The sequence below is a fragment of the Homo sapiens genome, chromosome 15 (genome assembly GCF_000001405.40).
Source record: "Homo sapiens chromosome 15, GRCh38.p14 Primary Assembly".
Lineage (NCBI taxonomy): Eukaryota > Metazoa > Chordata > Mammalia > Primates > Hominidae > Homo > Homo sapiens.
The window spans coordinates 85,140,547-85,163,511 of record NC_000015.10 but is presented as its reverse complement, the minus strand read 5'-3'; the positions used below and the strand labels follow the sequence as shown (position 1 = coordinate 85,163,511).

The window sequence follows — 22,965 nt, the reverse complement described above, 5'->3', positions numbered from 1 at the left end:
TTCTAGCCTGGGTGACAGAGTGAGACTCCATCTCAAAAAAAACAAAAACAAAAACACCAAAATACCACAAACTGGGTTGCTTAAACAACATAATTTTATTTTCTTACAGTTCTGGAGGCCGGAAGTCTAAGATCAAGGTGTCAGCAGGTATGGTTTCTCTTGAGGCCTCTCTCCTTGGCTTGCAGATGGCTACTTTCTTGCTACATCCTCAAATGGTGTTTTCTTTGTGTACTTGCATCACTGATATCACTCAATGTGTCCATTGAGTGACACCTAACAGCCTTATTTTAACTCAATCACTTTCTTTTTTTTTTTTGAGACGAAGTTTTGCTCTTGTTGCCCAGCCTGGAGCACAATGGCACAATCTTGACTCACTGCAACCTCCACCTCCCGGGTTTAAGCAATTCTCCTGCCTCAGCCTCCCAAGTAGCTGGGATTACAGGCGCCCACCACCACACCTGGCTAATTTTTGTACTTTTAGTAGAGATGGGGTTTTACCATGTTGGTCAGGCTGGTCTTGAACTCCTGACCTCAGCCTCCCAAGGTGCTGGGATTACAGGCATGAGCCACTGTGCCCGGCCCTCAATCACTTCTGTAAAGGTCCTATCTCCAAATACAGTCATATTCTGAGGTACTAGGGGGTTACAGATTCATGTGAATTGAGAGGGCAGGAGGACACAATTCAGCCCATAACATAAGCTCCTTGCAATTTCATATGAATTGAAGATCAGATTTTCCATTTCTGCAAAAAAGGCTTTTGAAATTTTGTTAGAAGTTGCCTTGAATCTGTAGATGGCTGTGGGTAGTACTGATATTAATTCTTTCCATTCGTTAACACAAGATGTCTTTCCATTTATTTAGGCCTTTCTTTATTTAGGACTTTCAGGAATGTTTTGTAATTTTCAGTGTACAAGTCTTTCACTCCTTGGTTAAATTTATTCCCAGATATTTCATGCTTTTAGATGATAGTGTACATGGAATTGCTTTTAAAATTTCCTTTTCTGATTGTTCAATACTGGTATATAGAAACATAACTAGTTTTTGTGTGTTGATCTTGTACCCTGAAATTTTGCTGAATCATTTATTTGCTCTAGGAGTTGCCTTACATTCTTTGGGATTTTCTGTGTATAAGATCATATTGTCTGTGAATATAGTTTTACTTCCTTTTCAGTTTGAATGCCTTTTATTTCTTTTTCTTGTCTAATTGCTCTGGCTAGAACTTCCTAGTACAGGCCTGGTGCAGTGGCTCGCACCTGTAATCCCAACACTTTGGGAGGCAGAGGCAGGTGGATCACTTGAGCCCAGGGGTTTGAGACAAGCCTGAGCAACATAGCAAAACCCTGTCTCTATAAAAACAAAAATTAACCCAGGTGTGGTGGCACTTGCCTGTGGTCTCAGCTTCAGGAGGCTGAGATGAGAGGGTCGCTTCAGCCCAGGAGGTCAAGGCTGCAGTGAGCTATGATGGTACAACTGTACTCCAGCCTGTATAACAGAGTGAGACCCTGGCAAACAACAACAACAACAACAAAAAGATAGAAACTTCCAATACAATGTTGAATAGCACTGGTGAAAGCAGGCATTTTTGACTTGTTTGTGAAATTATGGGAAAAACTTTCAGTCTATTACCATTGAGTATGATGTTAGCTGTGGGCTTTTCATAAGTGCCTTTATTATGCTGAAGAATCTTCCCTCTATTCCTAGTTTTCTAAGAATTGTTAAATAAAGTTCTGTTTTTAATTCTGAGAGTTTTTATCATGAAAAAGTGTTGGCTTTTGTAAATGCCTTTTCTGTACCGATTAACATAATCATTCTACTAATGTGATGTGTTACATTAATTTGATTTTCTTATGTTGAACAACTTTTGCATTCCTGTTACAAATTCCACTTGGTCATGATATATAATGTGCTGTATTTGGTTTGCTAGTGTTTTGTTGAAGATGTTTGTATTGATATTCATAAGCGATATTGATTTTTATTTTTTTCTTTTTTATGTCTTAATATACCTTTGTTATAGGGTAATGCTGGCATCTGAATAAGTTAGGAAGTATTCCCTCCTCTTTGAATTTTTTTGGAAGTGTTTGAGAAAGATTGATACTAATTTTTCTTTAAATCTTTAGAAGACTTCACCAGTGAATCCATCTGGTTCTAGGCTTTTCTTTGTTGAGAAGTTTTGATTAAAGGATGTTACTTGTTATATGTCTGGTAAGACTTTCAATTCCTTTTTTGAGTCAATTTATGTAATTTATGTGTTTCTAGGTATTTGTCCATTTCATCTAGGTTATCCAATTTTTGGTGTATAATTGTTCATAGGATTCTTTTATAATGCTTTTTATTACTGTTTGTTCAGAAATAATGTACCTGCTTTCATTTCTGATTTTGATTATTTGCATATTCATGTGTATGTGTGTGTCAGTCAAGCTAAAGGTTTGTCAAAATTGATTTTTTTCAATAAACTAACTTTTGGTTTCATTGATCTCACTATTGTTTTTCCATGATCTATTTTTATTTATTTCTACTCTGATCTTTGTTTCCCTCTTTGTGTTAGCTTTTGGTTTAGTTTGCTCTTCTTTTTCTTGAGCCTTAACGTATGAAGTTAGTTTATTGATTTGAGATATATTTTCTTTTTTTTTATGTAGGCATTTACAGCTATACATTTCCCTCTGAGTACTGCCTTTATTGCATCCTATAAGTTTTGGTATGTTGTGTTTTCATTTTCATTTGTCTCTAAGTGTTTTCTAATTTCTCTTATTTCTTAAACTTATAATTTATTTAAGAATGTGTTGTTGGCCAGGCGTGGTGGCTCAGGCCTGTAATCCCAACACTTTGGGAGGCCGAGATGGGTGGATCACCTGAGGTCAGGAGTTTGAGAGCAGCCTGGCCAACATGGTGAAACCCTATCTCTACTAAAAATACAAAAATTAGTCGGGCATGGTGGCAGACACCTGTAATCCCAGCTACTTGGGAGGCCGAGACAGGAGAATCGCTTGAACCTGGGAGGCAGAGGTTGCAGTGAGCCGAGCCCATGCCATTGCACTCCAGCCTGGGCGACAGAGTGAGACTCCATCAAGAAAAAAAGAATGTGTTGTTGGCCAGGCATGGTAGCTCACACCTGTAATCCTAGCATTTTGGGAGGCCAAGGTGGGTGGATTGCTTGAGCTCAGGAGTTTGAGACAGCCTGGGCAACATGGTGAAACCTCATCTCTACAAAAAAATACAAAAATTAGTCGGCCATAGTGGTGTGTACTTGTAGTCCCAGCTATTTGGGGGACTGAGGTAGATGGATCACTTGAGCCCAGGAAGTGGAGGTTGCAGTGAGCCAAGATCATGCCACTGCCTTCCAGCCTGGGAGATACAATAAGACCCTGTCTAAAAAAAAAAAAAAAAAAAAAAAAAAAATTGTTGGTTAATGACCATATATTTGTGGATTTTTTCGCCTATTATTGATTTTTAGATTTATTCCATTGTGGTCAGAAAAGATACTTTGTATGATTTCAAACTTTTTAAATTTATTGGGACTTGATTTGTATTCTAACATATGGTCTATCTTGGAGAATCTTCTGTGTACACTTGAGAAGAATGTATATTCTGCTGTTACTGGGTGGAGTGTTCTATATATGTCTTTAGGTCTAGTTGGTTTATGGTGTTGTTCATGCTTTCTATATCCTTAATCTTCTGCCTAGATTTTCTATCTGTTATTAAAAGTGGGACGTTGGCTAGGTATAGTGGCTTATGCCTGTAATCCCACCACTTTGGGAAGCTGAGGCAGGAGGATCATTTGAGGCCAGAAGTTTGAGATTGGCCTGGGCAACATAGCAAGACTCCGTTTCTGGAAAAAAAAAAAAAAAGTCAAGTGGTGGTATGCACCTGTATTCCTAGTTACCCGGGGGGTTTGAGGCAGGGGGATTGCTTAAGCCCAGGAGTTGGAAGCTGTGCTATGATCACACCATAGTACTCTAGCCTGGACAACAGAGCAAAACCCTGTCTCTAAACATAAAACATAACAAAAAGTGGGACATTGAAGTCTACAGCTATTATTGTAGAATGATTTCTCCCTTCACTCCTGTCAATATTTGCTTCATACATTTGGAACTCTGATGTTTGGTGAATATATGCTTATAACTATATAATTATATATAATATATACTTATAATTATATAATCTTGATGATCAACTTATTAATAAATTAATTATTTATTGATATATAATGTCCTTGTCCCTTGTAATAGTTTTTGGCATAAAGCCTGTTTTGTCCAATATTAGTATAGCAACCCCAGCTCCCTTTTGGGAACTATCTGCATGGAATATCTTTTTCTATCCTTTCACTTTCAACCTGTGTGTTTTAATTTAAAGTGTGTTTCTTGTAGACAGCATATAGTTGGTTCATGTTTTTAAAAACCCATTTTGTCATTCTCTGTCTTGATTGGAAAGTTTCGTCTATTTACATTTAAAGTAATTACTGATAAGAAAAGACTTCTGCCACTTTGCTATTTGTTTTCTATATATCTTATAATTTTTTGTCCCTTGTTTTCCTTTTGTATTTTGTTAATTTTCAGTAGTGAACCATTGTGATTCCCTTTTCATTTCCTTTGTGTATAGTCTGCTGGTATTTTCTTTGTGAAGAAGACTACAGTAAAATCAAATTTTACTGTGGGGCTTACATTTTCCATCAGTATTAGTTTGCTAGGGCTGCCATAACAAAATACTGTAGACTGGGTGGTTTAAACAACAGAAAATTTATTTTCTCACTATTCTGGAGGCTAGAAGTTGGAGACCAAAATGTCAGTAGAGTTGTTTCTTTAAGCACTTTAAAATATGTCATCCTGTTGCCTCTGGACTCCATGATATCTGATGAGAAATTGGGAGTAATCTTATTGAGCATAATTTGTACATGATGAGGTGCTTCTTGGTGCTTTCAAGGTTGTCTTTGGCTTTCAACAGTTTGATTATGATGGGTTTGAGTGTGGGTCTCTTTGATTTTTATCTTACTTGAAATTTGGTGAGCCTCTTGGTTTTGCAGATTCATGTCTTTTATCAAATCCAGCCCAGGGCTTTTTAATTTATCTGTTTTTATTTTTGTTTATTTATATTTTATTTTCAGTGGAAAATCTTTAGGGGTTTCTTTGAGGTTTGGGGCCCTATTGTCACAGGCGTGTGAACCAGAGCAATTCCATCTTAAATAGGAGCTGGACAAAATGAGGCTGAAACCTACTGGACTGCATTCCCAGATGGTTAAGGCATTTTAAGTCACAGGGTGAGACAGGAGGTCAGCACAAAATACAGGTCATAAAGACCTTGCTGATAAAACAGTTTGCAGTAAAGGAGCCGGCCAAAACCCACCAAAACCAAAATGGCAATGAGAGTGACCTCTGGTTGTCCTCACTGCTACACTCCACCAGCACCATGACAGTTTACAAATGCCATGGCAACATCAGGAAGTTACTCTATGTGGTCTAAAAAGGGGAGGAATGAATAGTCCACCCCTTGTTTAGCGTATCATCAAGAAATAACCATAAAAATGGATGAACAGCAGCCCTCGGGGCTGGTCTGTCTATGGAGTAGACATTCTTTTATTCCTTTACTTTCTTAATAAACTTGCTTTCACTTTGCACTGTGGACTCACCCTGAATTCTTTCTTGCATGAGATCCAAACCCTCTCCTGGGGTCTGGATTGGGACCCCTTTCCTGTAACATATTTTCCTGTCCTGTAACACTATGGTTTAAATATTTTAAATATAAATTAAACATAATGAATACTTTTGTAGAAGAAGTTAAACACTTTTTTCATTTCTTATGAATAATCAAAGGGTTGTAATCTGGGTTGGCTCATAATAGATTTGTTTTTTCATTCTGTATGTTCATTATCACAAACCATTTCTCATTTGAAGGAAGGATGTGACTAGCTTTTTGGGGTTCTGGCTTGCAGTGTACAGTGTTTCTTTGGGTTGATGGAACCCTTGTGTGATATTGTGAAATACATATAATGGTCTTCATCCCTGTTTCCTGACATATAACTTGTAAAACACTTGGAATCTCTGGAGTTATGAGTGTCTCTTCTATGCTAATGAGATGACTGGTGGCTGGGGCCCTTATAGCTTCCAAATAGGGGCTGGTTACAGGAAAGACCAAGGCATGATTAGAGGGTTGAGGCTTTTAGCTCCACCCACCAACCTGCGGGGAGAGGAGAGAAGCTGAAGGTTAAGTTGACCACCAGTGGCCAATGATTTAATCAGTCATCCCTATGTAGAGCTCCCAAACAGCTGGATGCTCCTTATCAGGCTGAGGAAGTTCCCTCTTATTTATTTGCTTATTTATTAATTTTTATCATGAAAGAGTGTTAAATTTTGTCAAATGCCTTTATTCTTTCTGTTGAGATAACCGTGTGGTTTTGTTTTTTTATCAATGTGGTGTATTACATTGATTGATTATTGTATGCTTAACTGATGTTGCATTCCTAAGTTCCACCTCGCTGTGATGTACAATCATTTTTACATGTTGCTACATTCAGTTTGCTAGTATATTATAGAGGACTTTTATGTTCAATTAATAAGAGAGATATTGATCTGTAGTTTTCTTGTGATATTTTTGTCTGATTTTGGTATCAGGGTAATACTGGCCTCACAAAATGAGTTGGAAGGTGTTTCCTCCTCTTCTGTTTTTAGGAAGATGTTGAGAAGGATTGGTGTTAATTCTTTTTTAAATGTTTAATAAAATTCAGTGGTGAAGCCACCTGGTCCTGGGCTTTACTTTATGGGAAATTTTTCTATTACTAATTCCATCTTCACTTGTTATAGGTCTATTCAAGTTTAGCATTTCTTATTGAGTCCTTTTCATTAATTCGTATCTTTCTAGGAATTTCTATGTTATCTGGGTTATCTAATATTTAGCATACAATTATTTATAATATTCTCTTGTAATCCTTTTTATTTTTGTAAGGTTGGTAGTGATGTCCTCTTATTCATGCTTTTAGCAATTTCAGTCTTCTCTCTTTTTTATTAGTCTAGCCTCTTTTCTATTAGTCAAAAATGGGGCCTTTCAGGTGGGGTTTCAGGCTTTGGTGAAATGGGGATGGGAAGAAATGGGAAGGGTGACTTGTGAAAATACCTCATTGCAGGGCCTGTGTATTTTGCAAAGAAGACGTTCATTAAGCCACGCTTCTCAGACATGAGTGTGCACGGGTATGAGGTGCTGTGTTTCTGGCCAGTTCCTGGAGGCACCAAAGCTGCTGGTCTGCAGACTCTGTTAGGTGAGGGGCTGGAGGGCTTTGCTTTCTTATTCATGGGCTTCTTTCCTTGGTGACTTGAGATCATCTAAGTGGAGTAAACAAGAGTGGAACTCTATACACACGATAGTTCTTAACTTTTTGAAATTTCCTCTTTTTATAGCAGGATGAGACAAATTGTTCAAAAGTTTATTCAGCTTCTTCCTGAGCTTGCTGTGAGCTGATGACTTTACTAATTCCTTTCCTCATTGTTTCTGATCCTATTCCTTGGGGAAAAGGCTTCCTTGTGACACAGAAGCCAGTTCTTCCACATCTACTTCTTTCTTTGAAGAAGATGGGGGAGCAAAACTGCTTCCTACTTTTCTTTGACCTTTTCCTGAGGTTCAGCTAAAATGAGGTGGGCATACAAACCTTGGTCTTTTTCCAGGTTGGTAACTTTTGCCTCTATTTAAAATTTCATTTTTCTGCCTAAGTCCCTGAGGGACACACTAGCTGGCACACTCACCTTGTCCTTCACAGTGGAAGATGAGAAGCTCTAGATGAGGGTGCGGGCCAGGAGGCGGGAAGTCTGGACACTGTTGCTCTGTTGCTTTCCAGCCCCAGGTGGTCCTGGGGGTCCTGGACCTCCTCCAGGGCTGCCGCGTGGACTCTGACAGCCCAGGGTACTGCTGCGCTGTGCGGCTCTCCCCTTCTTCCTCTCCATCCTTGATTATTTCAAGGCCTGTGTCCTGTGCATGGAGCCAGACGCAGCACAGACCCCAGGGGCACCCTAGAGTCCAGTTCCAGCAGGCTCTGCTCCCTGGATGTCCACAGGCCCTGACACTCATTATGTCCAAATCCAAGGGTTGTCTTCCCTGGAAAGTCCGATTCTGTCTCTCGCATTTCCTAGTCATGTGACTCACACTACCTTCTCAGTCATTCTGATTTTATTTTATTTATCTATTTTTTTGAGATGGAATCTCGCTCTATCGCCCAGGCTGGAGTGCAGTGGTGCGATCTCGGCTCACTGCAACCTCCGCCTCCCGGGTTCAAGTGATTTTCCTGCCTCAGCCTCCCGAGTAGCTGGGACTACAGGCACGTGCCACCACGCCCGGCTAATTTTTGGTATTTTTAGTAGAGACAGGGTTTCACCATATTAGCCAGGATGGTCTCGATCTCCTGACCTCATGATCTGCCCGCCTTGGCCTCCCAAAATGTTGGGATTACAGGTGTGAGCCACCGCGCGTGGCCATCATTCTGATTTTAAACCTTAGAACAGGCTGGGTGCAGTGGCTCATGCCTGTAATCCCAGCACTTTGGGAGGCTGAGGCGGGTGGATCACCTGAGGTCAGGAGTTCGAGATTAGCCTGACCAATATGGTGAAACCCTGTCTCTATTAAAAATACAACAATTAGCAAGGTGTGGTGGTGTGCCTGGAATCCCAGCTACTCGGGAGGCTGCAGAAGAGTTGCTGGAACTCGGGAAGCAGGGGTTGCAGTGAGCTGAGATCATGTCACTGCACTTCAGCCTGGGCAACAGAGCAAGACTCCACCTCAAACAAACAAACAAACAAACAAAAAACCTTAGAACAAACTGCAAAAGTAATCAAATGGATTAAAGTTTGGGGAAAGCCAGAAAAGCACAAGGTAGGAAATAAATCACCTGTAATCCCAGCCTCCAGAGAGAACCACTGAAAATGCCTGAGGGTATTTCCTTCCACTTCTTTTCCTAATCACACATTGCTTCCCCTTCCACACTTCAGAAGCAATATGTGATTAGGAAAAAAAGTGGAAGGAAATATGTGTTCGACGTGTTTTCACTGAATAACACAGTCTTGACGTTTCTCCATTTCACTGATTGGTTTTTCTAAATCATTATTTTTAGTGGCTGCAAAAAGCACCCCTTTTGGAAATCATCTTGAATTTTTCTTCTTAACCATACTGAGTCTTTCTTCACCTATTGTTGGGTATTGTGGTTGTTTCCAATTTCTCAACCTGATTCAGCACTGCTGTGAGCAGCACGCATAAATCTGTGCTGTCATCCCCACCCTGCTGTTTGTCATTTGAATTACTGTTGGGCTCCAACTGATGTCACACCTCCTTCCCCTCCCAAGCAAGCCCTAGCCTGGAACAGATTTTTTTCTTTTACGATAGGTGAAATCAGCAGGTTTTTCTTATATGAACTTTGGGTTTTATGTCATGCCTTTTCTACTCTGAGATGATAAAAATATTTTCTTCATGGTTTCTTCTCATATTTTTATGTTTAATCTTTCACTTTTAAAGCATTGGCACATTAAGAATTTATTTCTGGCCAGGCATGGTGGCTCACTTCTGTAATCCCAGCACTTTGGGAGACTGAGGCAGGCGGATCACTTGAGCCCAGCAGTTGGAGACCAACCTGAGCAACATGGTGAAACCCTGTCTCTATAAAATACAAAAAAATGAGCCAGGTGTGGTGGTATGCACCTGTAATCTCAACTACTTGGGAAGCTGAGATGGGAGGATGGCTTGAGCCCCAGGTCAAGGCTGCAGTGAGCTGTGATTGCACCACTGCACTCCAGCCTGGGCGACAGAGCAAGACCCTGCCTCAAAAAAAAAAATTTACTTCCTAGACACCTACCCAGTCATCCCAACACCATTTATTGAGTAATCCATCTTTTTTTCAGTGATGTGAAATATCACTGAATATCAGTATGTTGATCACATACTGATTTCCTGTGTGTTTTGATTTATTTCTGGGCTCTGTTCAGTTTCACTTTTTCATCTAAAAAAGTCAGTGCCTCACAGTTTTAATCATGGCAGCTTTATATTTTCATATCTTAGGGCCAGTCCTTTCTTTTTACCCTTTGTATTAGTTCATTCTCACACCGCTACAAAGAACTACATGAGACTGGGTAATTTATAAAAAAAAGAGGTTTAATTGACTCACAGTTCTGCAGGCTTAACAGGAAGCATGAGTGGGAGGCCTCAGGAAACTTATAATCATGGTGGAAGGTGAAGGGGAAGCAAGCACATCTTACCATAGCGGAGCAGGGGAGAGACAGTGAAGGGAGAAATGCCACACGCTTTTCCACCATCAGATCTTGTGACAGCCACTATCACGAGAACAGCGAGGGAGAAATCCACCCCATGATCCAATCACTTCCCACCAGGTCCTTCCCCGGACACATGGGATTTTAATCCAACATGAGATTTGGGTGGGGACACACAGCCAAACCATATCACTCTTTACTTCCAGAATTTTCTTAGCTCTTCTTCTCTGAACTGTTTCAACTCACACTTCTTGGTGTGGGTTTTTTTTCCTCACATCAACCAATTTTCCAACTCTTTGGATACCAACTGGATATCCCAAATTCTATTCAGTTCTGACGCTATTTGGAGTGCAGACTCTTAAATGAAGGGTTCAGTTCTACAAGACTGTCTCCACTTCAGGTGCCAATTGCAAGTTTGAGTCTCCCATACTTTTTTTTTTTTTTTTTTTTTTTTTTTTTGAGATGGAGTCTCGCTCTGTTACCCAGGCTGAAGTGCAGTAGAGCAATCTCAGCTCACTGCAGTCTCCGCCTCCCGGGTTTAAGTGATTCTCCTGCCTCAGCCTCCTGAGTAGCTGGGATTACAGGCACCTGCCACCACACCCAGCTAATTTTTGTATTTTTAGTAGAGAGGGAGTTTCACCATGTTGGCCAGGATGCTCTCAATCTCTTGACCTAGTGACCTGCCCGCCTCAGCCTCCCAAAGTGCTGGGATTATAGGCGTGAGCCACCGTGCCCACCTGGGTCTCCTATATTTCTGAATGACTGGAATAAAGTCAGAGGCTTCCCACAACCCCCTCCTCAGATTCGATAATTTGCTAGAATAGCTCACAAAACTCACGAAAACACTTTACTTACCATTACCAGTTTATTATGAAGGATACACCTCTGGAATAGTCAAATGGAAGAGATGCACAGGACAAGGCATGAGGTGGGTGTGGAGCCTCCATGCCCTCTCCAGGAACCCACCCTCCCAGTACCTTGATGTGTTTATCAGTCCAGAAGCTCTTCCAACCCTGTTTTTTAAGAGTTTTATGGAGGACTCCTTACCTAGGCGTGATTGATTAAATAATTGGCCACTGGTAATTAACTCAAACTCCAGCTCTTCTCCCAGTCCTGGAGGTCAGGGGTAGGGCTGAAAGTTCTACCCCTCTAATCATGGCTTGATATTTCTGGCAAGCAGCCTCATCCTGAAACTATCTAAGGCTCTCTCCTCATGAGGGGCTGACTCATTAGAACAAAAGATGCTCCTATCACCCAGGAAATTGCAAGTATTTAGGAGCTCTGTGTTAGCAACTGGGGACAAAGACCAAATATACATTTCTTACTGCATCACACCATCACGTAGTATATGAACTTTAGAATCACTTGACTAAATTTTTTTCTTCGATTGGGATTCATGCTAAATTCATGGAGCAATTTAGGTAAAAAGTGACGTTTTTACAGAATTAATTCACCCCCAAAATAAGGTATACCTTTACATTTATTTATACCTTTTTTTTTTTTTTTTTTTTTTTTTTGAGACGGAGTCTCGCTCTGTCGCCCAGGCTGGAGTGCAGTGGCGCGATCTCGGCTCATTGCAAGCTCCGCCTCCCGAGTTCACGCCATTCTCCTGCCTCAGCCTCTTGAGTAGCTGGGACTACAGGCGCCCACCACCAAGCCCGGCTAGTTTTGTTTTTGTATTTTTAGTAGAGACGGGGTTTCACCGTGTTAGCCAGGATGGTCTCGATCTCCTGACCTTGTGATCTGCCCGCCTTGGCCTCCCAAAGTGCTGGGATTGCAGGCGTGAGCCACCGCGCCCGGCTGTTTACATCTTTAAGTTCCTCAGGAGCACTGTTCAAAATTCAAAAGGAACAAATGAGCATATGGGAAAAGTTTCCCCGCTGTTGTAGGGAACAGGGACTATGTTTCCTAGTCACTGTTTCCTTCCCACAGGCAATCTGTGTTACTGGTTTCTTGTGCATACATTCCATGATTTTAAGCTAATTTAGCACTTAAACAAATGCTTGCCTATGTGTATCTTATTTTGCATTATGCTTATGCTTTTTCACTTATAAATATATCTTGGTAATTTTTTTCATATCTACACGAGTTTCCTCATTTTGTAAAAATGATACATGGCTTGTGGGTTTTTAAAAATAGTTGATTTTGGAGGCCAGGTGCAGTGACTCATGCCTGTAATCCCAGCACTTGTGGGAGGCCAAGGCAGGTGGATCATGAGGTCGGGAGTTCGAGACCAGCCTGGCCAACATAGTGAAACCCCATCTCTACTAAAAGTACAAAAATTAGCTGGGCATGGTGGCGGGTGCCTGTAGTCCCAGCTATTCAGGAGGCTGAGGCAGGAGAATCACTTGAACCTGCGAGGTGGAGGTTGCATTGAGCCAAGATCACGCCATTGCACTCCAGCCTGAGTGACAGAGTGAGACTCCATCTCAAAAACAAACAAACAAACAAAACTTGATTTTTAAGGGCAGTTTTTAGGTTTACAACAAAATTGAGAAGAAGCTTTTCAAAAGTTTTTGAACTATGGGTGTTCCCCATACCCTCTGCCGTCCCCCATTAGCAACTCCCCCAGCAGAGTGGCACATTGGTTACAGCTGATGAACCTACATTGACACATCGTTATCACCCAGAGCCCCTAGTTTACATTAGGATTCACTCTGCTGTTGTACATTCTGTGGGTATGGACGAATGTATAATGACATGCATCTACCATTATAGAGTATTTTCACTGCCCTAAAAATCTGCTGTGCTTTGCTTCTGTGTCCCCTTACCCCATGGCAACTACTAAGCTGTTTACTGTCTCTACACTTTTGCCTTTTCCAGGCTGTCAATAGTTGGAATCGTACAGTATGTAGCCCTTTCAGATCGGCTTCATTCACTTAGTAATATGCATTAAAGGTTCCTCTGTGTCTCTTCATTCCTTGATAGCTCAATTCTTTTTAGTGCTGAATAAAATTCCATTGTCTGGATGCATCACAGTTTATCCATTCACTAACTGAAGGATATCTTGGTTGTTTCCAAGCTTGAGCAATTATGAATAAGGCCATTGTAAACATTCATGTGAAGGATTTTATGTGAACATAAAATTTCAGCTCCTTTGGGTATATACCAAGGACATGATTATTGGATCATTTGGTAAGATTGCATTTAGTTTTGTGAAAAACTACCAAACTGTCTTCCAATGCGGCTGTATCATTTTTGCCTTCCCACCAGCAATGAATGAGACGTCCTGTTGCTTCACATCCTCATCAGCATTTGGTGTTGTCTGTGTTCTCGAGTCTGGCCATTCTAACAGGTGTGTAGTGGTATCTCACTGTTGTTTTAGCTTGTGCTTCCCCGATGACATATGGTGTGGTGCATCTTTTTATATCCTTATTTGCCATCTGTAGATCTTCTCTGGTGAAGTCTTTGTGAAGATCTTTGACCCATTTTAATATCAGATTGTTTTCTTATTGCTGAGTTTTAAGAGTGCTTTGTATATTTTGGATCTTTATGTGCATTTTGCAAATATTTTGTCCCAGTCTGTGGCTTTTCTTCTCATCCTCTTCACATTCTCTTACAGAGCAGGTTTTTAACTTTAATGGAATCCAGCTGATCAGTTATTTCCGTCACAGAATGTGCCTTTGTTGTGGTATCTAAAAAGTTTTCAGTATACCCATGCTCACCTAGGTTTTCTCTTATGCTGTCTTCTAGGAGTTTTACATTTTATATTTGGGCCTATGAGCCAATTTGAGTTAATCTGTGTGAAGGTTGTAAGGTCTGTGTCTAGATTCTTTTTTTTTTTTTTTTTGTATGTGGATGTTCAATTCTAGCACAATTTAGTAAAAAAAAACAAAAACAAAAACACAAAACTGTCTTTGTTTCATTGTGTTGCTTTGCTCCCTTGTCAAATATCAGTTGACTATATTTATGTGGGGTCCATTATTTCTGGCACTCTATTTTGTTCCATTGATCTATTTATTCTTTCGCCCTACTGCATCTTTTTGAATACTGTGGCTTTATAGTAAGTCTTGAAGTCAGGTAGTATCAGTCTTCCAACTTTGTTCTTCTCCCTTAGTATCCTGTTGGCTATTCTGGGTCTTTTGCCTCTCCAGTAAACTGTAAAATCAGTTTGTTAAGATCCACAAAATAGCTTGCTGGGATTTTGATTGTGGTTACATTGAATCTAGATGAAGCTGTGAAGAAATTACATCTTGGCAATATTGAGTCTTCCTATCTATGAACATGGAATAGCTCTTCATTTATTCAGCTCTTCTTTGATTTCTTTCATATAAGATTTGTAGTTTCCCTTATAAAGATCTTGTATATATTTTGTTAGATTTATATATAAGTATTTCATTTTGAGGTGGGGGGGCTAACATAAATACTATTGTGTTTTTAATTTCAAATTCTACTTATTGTTGGTATAGGAAAGTGACTGACTTTTGTTTTTTAACATTGTACTCTGTAACCTTGCCATAATGGCTTATTCCAGGTTTTTTTATTCTTTTGGATTTTCTACATAGGTAATCATGTCATCTGCGAACACAGTTTTATTTCTTCCTTCTTATTCAGTATATCCTTTCTCTGCACTGGACTGCAGTCCAGTGTTGAAAAGGAATGGTGACAGGGACCTCCTTGCATTGCTCCTGTTGTTAGCAGGAAAGCTTCTAGTTTCTCACTATTCAGTATGATAACTGTGGTTTTTCATACTTGGGATAAATCCTATCTGGTTGTGAAGTGTAATTCTTTTTACACATTGCTGGATTCTATTTGCTAATATTTTGTTGAGGATTTTTGTATCTAGGTTCATGAAAGATATTGGTCTGTCATTTGCTTGCCATGTCTTTGTCTGGTATGTGTATGAGTCTGGCCCCATATAATGAGTTATAAAGTATCCCTTCTGCTTTGATCTTCTGAACCAGATTGTAAAATAAGGGTATAATTTCTTCCTTATATGTCTAACAGAATTCACAAGTGAACCCATTTGAGCCTGGCATTTTCTGTTTTGAAAAGTTATTAATTATTGATTTCTTTAATAGATATAGGCTTATTCAGATTGATTGTTTCTTGTGAGTTTTGGCAGATTGTGTCTTTCAAAGAATTGGTCCTTTTCTTTCTTTCTTTTTTTTGACACTGAGTCTCACTCTGCTGCCCAGGCTGGAGTGCAGTGGCATGATCTCGGCTCACTGCAACCTCCGCCTCCCAGATTCAAGCGATTCTCCTGCCTCAGCCTCCTGAGTAGCTGGGATTGTAGGTGCCTGCCACCACACCTGGCTAATTTTTATATTTTTAGTAGAGACAGGGTTTTACCATGTTGGCCAGGCTGGTCTTGAACTCCTGACCTCAAGTGATCCACCTGCCTCGGCCTCCCAAAGTGTTGGGATTACAGGCATGAGCCACCATGCCCGGCCGAATTGGTCCTTTTCATCTAGGTTATCAAATTTGTGGGTGTGGAGTTATTCATAGTATTCCTTTATCTTTTTAATGTCTATGAGATCTGTAGTGATATCCTCTCTTTTGTTTCTGATATTAGTAATTTGTGTCTTCTTTTATTCTCAGTAAACCTGGCTAAAGCCTTATCAATTTTGTGGTCTTCTCCAAGAACCAGCTTTTGGTTTCATTGACTTTATTTCCTGTTTTTAATATCATTGATTTCTGGTCTAATTTTTTACTATTTCTTCTGTTTATTTTGGATTTCATTTGTTCTTTTTCCAGTTTCCTAAGGTAGAAGCTTAGATAATTAATTGTATACTGTATTCTTTTCTAATACACACATTAAATGCTATAAACTTCCCTCTAAACACTGCTTTCACTGTATGCCACAAATTTTGGTAAGTTGTGTTTTAATTTTCATTTAGTTTAAAATATTTGAAAATTTCTTGAGGTTTCTTCTTTGGCCCATGTGTTAATTATGTGTGTTTTTTTGTTTTTGTTTTTGACACAGGGTCTCACTCTGTTGCCCAGGCTGGAATGCAGTGGTGCCATCATGACCGACTGCAGCCTTGACTTCCCAGGCTCAAGAGTTCCTCTCACCTCAGCCCCCTGAGTAGCTGGGACTACAGATGCATGCCATCATGCCTGGCTAATTTTTGTATTTTTTGCTGAGACAGGGTCCCACTGTGTTTCTCAGGCTAGTCTTGAACTCCTGGTCTCAGGTGATCCTCCTGCCTCGGCCTCCCAAAGTGCTGGGATTATAGATGTGAGCCATGGTGCCCGGCCCTAGAAGTATGTTCATTAATCTCCACATATTTTGAATATTTCCAATTGTCTTTCTGTTATTGATTACAGGTTAATTCCATTGTCTTCTGAGAGAAGATACTGTCTGATTTTTATTTTTAATTAATTAATTAGGAAACAGGGTTTTGCTCTGTTACCCAAGCTGGTGTGCAGTGGTGCAATCGTGGCTTCTTACAGTCTCGAACTCCTGGGCTCATGTGATTCTACTACCTCAGCCTCCCAAGTAGCTGGGACCACAGGTGTGTACCTCCACACCCAGTCATTTTTAGAATTTTTTGTAGAGACAGGGTCTCACCATGTTGCTCAAGCTGGTCTTGAACTCCTGGGCTCAAGTTGACCCTCCTACCTTGGCTTCCCAAAGTGCTGGTATTACAGGAATGAGCAACTGCACCTGGCCTAATTTGTTTTTTTTGTTTTTTGTTTTCTTTTCTTTTTTTTGAGACGGAGTCTCACTCTGTCACCCAGGCTGGAGTGCAGTGGCACCATCTCGGCTCACTGCAAGCTCTGCCTCCCGGGTTCTCACCATTCTCCTGCCTCAACCTCCCAAGTAGCTGGGATTACAGGTGCCCGCCACCACACCCAGCTAATTTTTTTGTATTTTTAGTAGGGACAGGGTTTCACCGTGTTAGCCAGGATGGTTTTGATCTCCTGACCTCGTGATCTGCCCGCCTCGGCCTCCCAAAGTGCTGGGTTTACAGGCGTGAGCCACTGCGCCTGGCCTAATTTCCTTTTTTAAATGTGTTAAAGTGTGTTTTATAACCCAGGATATGGTCTGTCTTGGTGAATGTTCCATGTGGGGTTGAGGAGAAAGGGTAATCTGCTGTTGTTGGCTGAACTAGTCTATAGATGTCAGTTATATCCAGTTGACTGATAGTGTTGTAGGATTCAACTATGTCCTTACTAAATTTTCTGCCAGCTGAATCTGTTTACTTCTGATAAAAGAGTGTTGCAATCTCCCAGTGTAATAGTGGATTAATCTTTTCTCCTTACAGTTCTATCAGTTTGGGGCTCATGTAGTTTGATATTATGTTGTTTGGTGTATACATGTTAGGGATTATTATGTCTTGGAGAAATGATCTCTTTATCATAATCTAATGACCTTCTTTATCCTTGATAACTTTCCTTGCTTTTAAGTCTCCTCTGTTTGCAATTAATGTAACTACTCCTTTCTTTTTTTTTTTTTGAGACAGAGTCTCGCTCTGTCATGAGGCTAGAGTGCTGTGGCGCGTTCTTGGCTCACTGCAACCTCTGCCTCCCAGGTTCAAGCGATTCTCCTGCCTTAGTCCCCCTGAGTAGCTGGGACTACAGGTGTGCAACACCACGCCCAGCTAATTTTTGTATTTTTAGTAGAGACAGGGTTTCACCATGTTGTCTAGGATGGTCTTGCTTTCTTTTGATTAGTGTTAGTGTGGTATATTTTCTCCATCCATTTAATCTATGTGTTTTTCATTTTTTGGGTTTTTTTTTTTTTTTTTTTTTTTTTGAGACAGAGTTTCGCTCTTGTTGCCCAGGCTGGAGTGCAATGGCATAATCTTGGTTCAACAACCTCTGCCTCCTGGGTTCAAGCGATTCTCCTGCCTCAGCCTCTCGAGTAGCTGGGATTACAGGCATGTGTCACCACACCCTGCTAATTTTGTACTTTTAGTAGAGACAGAGTTTTTCCATGTTGGTCAGGCTGGTCTCGAACTCCTGACCTCAGGTGATCCACCTGCCTCTACCTCCCAAAGTGATAGGATTACAGACCTGAGCCACCGTGCCCGGCCTGGCTTTTTTTTAAAAATGGGTGTGGCTCTCACTATGTTGCCCAGGCTGGTCTCAAACTCCTGGCCTCAAGTGATCCTCCCACCTTGGCCTCCCAAAGCCCTGGGACTACAGGCATGAGCCACCACATTTGGCCTCAAATATTTCTTCTGTTCTTTTCTTTCTGTATTTTCCCTCTGCTATTCTTATAACATGTATATTACAACTTTTTAGCTCCATAGTCCTTGGATATTTTGCTCAGTCCTATTCTCTTTAATTTTCAGTTTTGTAGGTTTCTATTTGACATGTCTTCAAGCTGAGAGATTCACTCCTAATTCATGTCCAGCCTATTAATGAGCCCATCAAAAGCACTTTTCATTCATTCGCAGTGTTTTTGCTATAAACAAAACAGTGCTTTCCTCCTCTCTTTGCTGGAAGTATGAGGGAATTTTCCTGTTATATTTACTGTGAGAACTGTGAAGCTCTTGGAGGTAAAATTCACGAAAGTGCAGGCGGGGGGCACCCCTTATAACTGGGTTCCCCAGGAGTTTTAATTCTTAGACTGTCCACATTGAGCCTCCACCAATTCTTCAATTACTGACAGGTTCTTCTACCCTGGCACTGGTTCCCATGGTGGTTTCCACTCATGAATCTCTGCTCCAGTAAGATATAATTTCCTGTATTTGCCTGCTGGTCTCTCCTATCTTAGGGGCAGCAGTTTGACTTGTATCCTCACCTTTCTTACAGATCTAGGAAGAGCTGTTGATTTTTCAGGCTGTTTAGCTTTTTACTTGTTAGAATGAAGTGGCGACTTTCAAGTTCCTTACATGCGGATCTGGAAAATAAGTCTCCTCATTCTTTTTTACAGTTGCATAGTATTCTGTTGTATGGTCATACCTGTAACTTGTTTACTTACTCTTCTTAAATGATAGACAATTTGTTTCCAGTCTTTTACTAATATAAGTAGTAAATAATAAATAATTTTGTAGACTATTATTTCCCACGTGTAAATATCTTTAGGCTAAAATCCTGGAAGTAGAATTGCCAGGTCACACTGCATGTACATTTGCAATTTGGATAGATTTGGCAAATTTGTAATTAGGTTGTACTAATTATACTCACCTGCCATGTCATTTCCACTCATTCTTCTTTTTTTTACCACCCACCCCCGCCCCCTCCCCGAGAGAGTCTTGCTCTGTCACCCAGGCTGGAGTGCAGTGGCGCCATCTCGGCTCACTGCAACCTCTGCCCCCTGGGTTTAAGCAATTCTTCTGCCTCAGTCTCTGGAGTAGCTGTGATTATAGGTGCCCGCCACCACGCCTGGCTAATTTTTATATTTTTAGTAGAGACAGGGTTTCACTATGTTGGACAGGCTGGTCTCAAACTCCTGACCTTATGATCTGCCTGCCTTGGCCTCCTAAAGTGCTGGGATTACAGGCGTGAGCCACTGCAACCGGCCCACACATTCTTATTAACATACTATATTATCAAACTTTTTATTCTTTACTCATCTTAAAGGTGAAAAATATCTCAAATTGGTTCTAATTTGCATTTGATTACTATCAGTGTAGTATAAACTTTAAGAACCTTTTGTTTTTCTACAAACTTTCTGTTCATAACATTTTTAAATTTTTTCTACCGTACTGTTCATTTTCTCATATAAAAATTTTAAAAATCAGTATTATGGAAGTAAGCTTTTATAAAATGAATTATAAACATTTCCTTGCTTTTGACATATTGTCATTTGTCACATAAAATATTTTGATTTTTATTGTTGATTTTTTAATTGTGTTTTCATATGGCTTCTGTTTTGTGTACTACTTTCTCTGCTTAAAATATGTGCCTATAGTCCCAGCTACTCAAGGAGGCTGAGGTGGGAGAACTGTTTGAGCCTGGGAGGTAGAGGCTGCAGTGAGCCTGATTGCGCCACTGCACTCCAGCCTGGGCAACAGAGACCTGTCTCAAAAGAAGAAAAAATATCCTAGCTGCCTTGGCCCTAGCTGCCTTTAAAAAATCAATGTACTTCACCACTAGACTTAATAAATATTAACATTTTTCTGTGTCTACCTTTTTTTTTTTTTTTTTTTTTTTTGAGATGGAGTCTTGCTCTGTCACCAGGCTGGAGTGCAGTGGTACGATCTCAGCTCACTGCAACCTCTGCCTCCCGGGTTCAAGCGATTCTCCCACCTCGGTCTCCCAAGTAAGTGGGATCACAGGCGCCCGCCACTATGCCCAGCTACTTTTTTTTTGTATTTTTAGTAGAGACGGGATTTCACCATATTGGCCAGGCTGGTCTTGAACTCCTGACCTCAGGTGACCCGCCTGCCTCGGCCTCCGAAAGTAGTGGGATTACAGGCATGAGCCACCATGCCCTGCTTCTGCTTTATGTATTATTTCAAAAATAGAAAATACACATAGTTCCCTCTGAATGTTTTCCCAGCACCAGACCCCTCCCCAGCCTCCATAGGTAACTGCCATTGTCAAGTTGGAGTATATACTTCTGGTCTTGATCAGAGTCCTTAATTTTGAGACTGGAGAACTCCTCTAGCTGGTTTAAGCTGAAGGGATTTATCAGTGCAAGAGCTGAAGAAATAAGACCCTTGACTGTGTTTCCTGGAAAGTCTCCTTAAGATCACACCTCAGGCTGGGCTGCCATGGTTATTGCCGTGCCTCCAGAGCCTTGTTTCTACCACAATCAGGAAGCTGTCATTATAGCTGCTGGGTCTAGAATGGCATTTCTGACATTCAAAATTGATGCCCCAATGCGGACCTTTGCTTTTTTCCATTTATGACTCAGTTCTAAATCAGAGTCTTGGACAAATGCCATCTGACAAGTGAACCTAAATTAGATATAAAAACCTTGGTGCAAAGGAGTTTGGAAGAAAGGCTTTTCACTCTCTACTTTGTGTGTTCACCAGGAAGCTAGGCAGTATTGTACAAGCCAGTTCACAGTATTTGTAAACTTCCTGAATATTTGAATTTTAATGTTCCTACTATTTATTTTTACATGAGCATTAGTGTATTGTTTTGGGTATTCAAAAAATTTACATAAACTACATCTTAGTGCAATTTTGCCTTTTCATCCAATATTATTAATTTTTCCCCGTCAACATCTGTAGCTCTGCTTCAGTCTTTTTCAGTGCTCTACAGTTTACACATTAGTTATTTGTTGCTGTGTAACAAATTGCATTAAAATGTAATGGCTTAAAACATGTGTTATCTCAGTTTCTGTGAGTCAGGATTCCAGGTGTAGCTTAGCTGGGCCCTCCGGCTCAGATTCTCTTGTAAGGCTGTAATCAAGGTGTCTCCTGGGAGAGTGGTCTCATCTAAAGACTTGACTAGGGCAGGATCTACTTCCACCTTACTCACGTGGTTGCTGGGAGGATTCAGTTCCTTGCTGGTTGTGAGCTGCAGGCTAACATTAGTTCCTTGCCATGTGTGTCTCACAAGGCAGCTCACAATATGGCAGCTTGCTTCATCAGAGTAAGCAAACAAGAATGTGGTATCACCATCTGTCATGGGTAGAACAGTGTCCCCCTGAAACCTCAAAATGTGACTTCATGTGGAAATAGGGTCCTTCCAGATGTAATTAGTTAAGGATTTTGAAGTGAAACCAGCCTGGATTTAGCATGGACCAGTGTTTTTATAAATAGAAGGGAGGACACAAGTCCCACATTAGGCAATGTGAAGATGGAGGCAGAGATTGGGACAATGCATCTGCTAGCTAAGGAACATGTCAGCAGCACAGCATGGTTTTTCTCTCTGGGCCTACAGAAGGAACCAACCCTGTGGACACCTTGACCTCCAGCCTTACAGTCCCAGGAAACATAAGACAATAAATTTACATTGATTTGAGCTACCTAGTTTGATTTGTATCTTTTGTCATATGTTACTTTTGTTTTGTTTTCTTTTTTGAGATGGAATCTTGCTCTGTCATTCAGGCTGGGGTGCAGTGGCACGATCTCAGCTCACTGCAACCTCCGCCTTCTGGGTTCAAGCGATTCTCCTGCCTCAGCCTCCTAAGTAACTGGGACTATAGGCACACGCCACCAAGCCCAGCTAATTTTTGTATTTTTAGTAGAGATGGGGTTTCACCATATGCTACTTTTTTTTACATGTAGATCTTTACAATTGATTTTGTGTATGAGTTTATACTTATTTCTGCCACTGTCTTTTCTAACTCATGCATTTTCTTTTTCCATTTGTCTTTTATTGGTTGCATTAGTTGCACTTTATTTCTTCTTTGCTTTCCTGTGATTTTTTTTTTTTTTTTTGGACACAGTTTCACTCTTGTTGCCCAGGCTGGAGAGCAATGGTGCGATCTTGGCTCACCACAACCTCTGCCTCCCAGGTTCAAGCGATTCTCCTGCCTCAGCCTCCTACGTAGCTGGGACTACAGGTACCCGTGACCACGCCTGGCTAACTTTTCTATTTTTAGTAGAGACGGGGGTTTCACCACATTGGCCAGGCTGGTCTCGAACTCCTGACCTCGTGATCTGCCCACCTCAGCCTCCCAAAGTGCTGGGATTACAGGCGTGAGCCACTGTGCCCGGACTGTTTTTTCTCAGCTTTGTATTTCTCTTTGTGCTCACTGGTCTAGTTTCACTTGTATGGATTTATTCATATTGCCTAGGATTCGCTGTGCCTTTAAATCTGCGGACTTGCGTCTATCAAATCCTGGAGGACTCTGCACTCCTCCAGATGGTGCTTCTTCCTGCTCTCCCTTCTGGATCTCCTAATTGGACATATTTTGAAGTGTTTCTTTCTGCTCTCATAT

At 40.8% G+C, this 22,965-nt stretch overlaps 1 annotated feature.

Moving 5' to 3' along the window:
- Positions 13,643 to 13,812: an enhancer, noted in NCBI's record as "experimental_42032 CRE fragment used in MPRA reporter constructs". NCBI's record gives its function as "activates a minimal promoter by MPRAs in K562 erythroleukemia cells, with activity observed for both the introgressed and non-introgressed 15:85693016 variant alleles {active_cell/tissue: K562}" and the evidence as "EXISTENCE:reporter gene assay evidence [ECO:0000049][PMID:34662402]".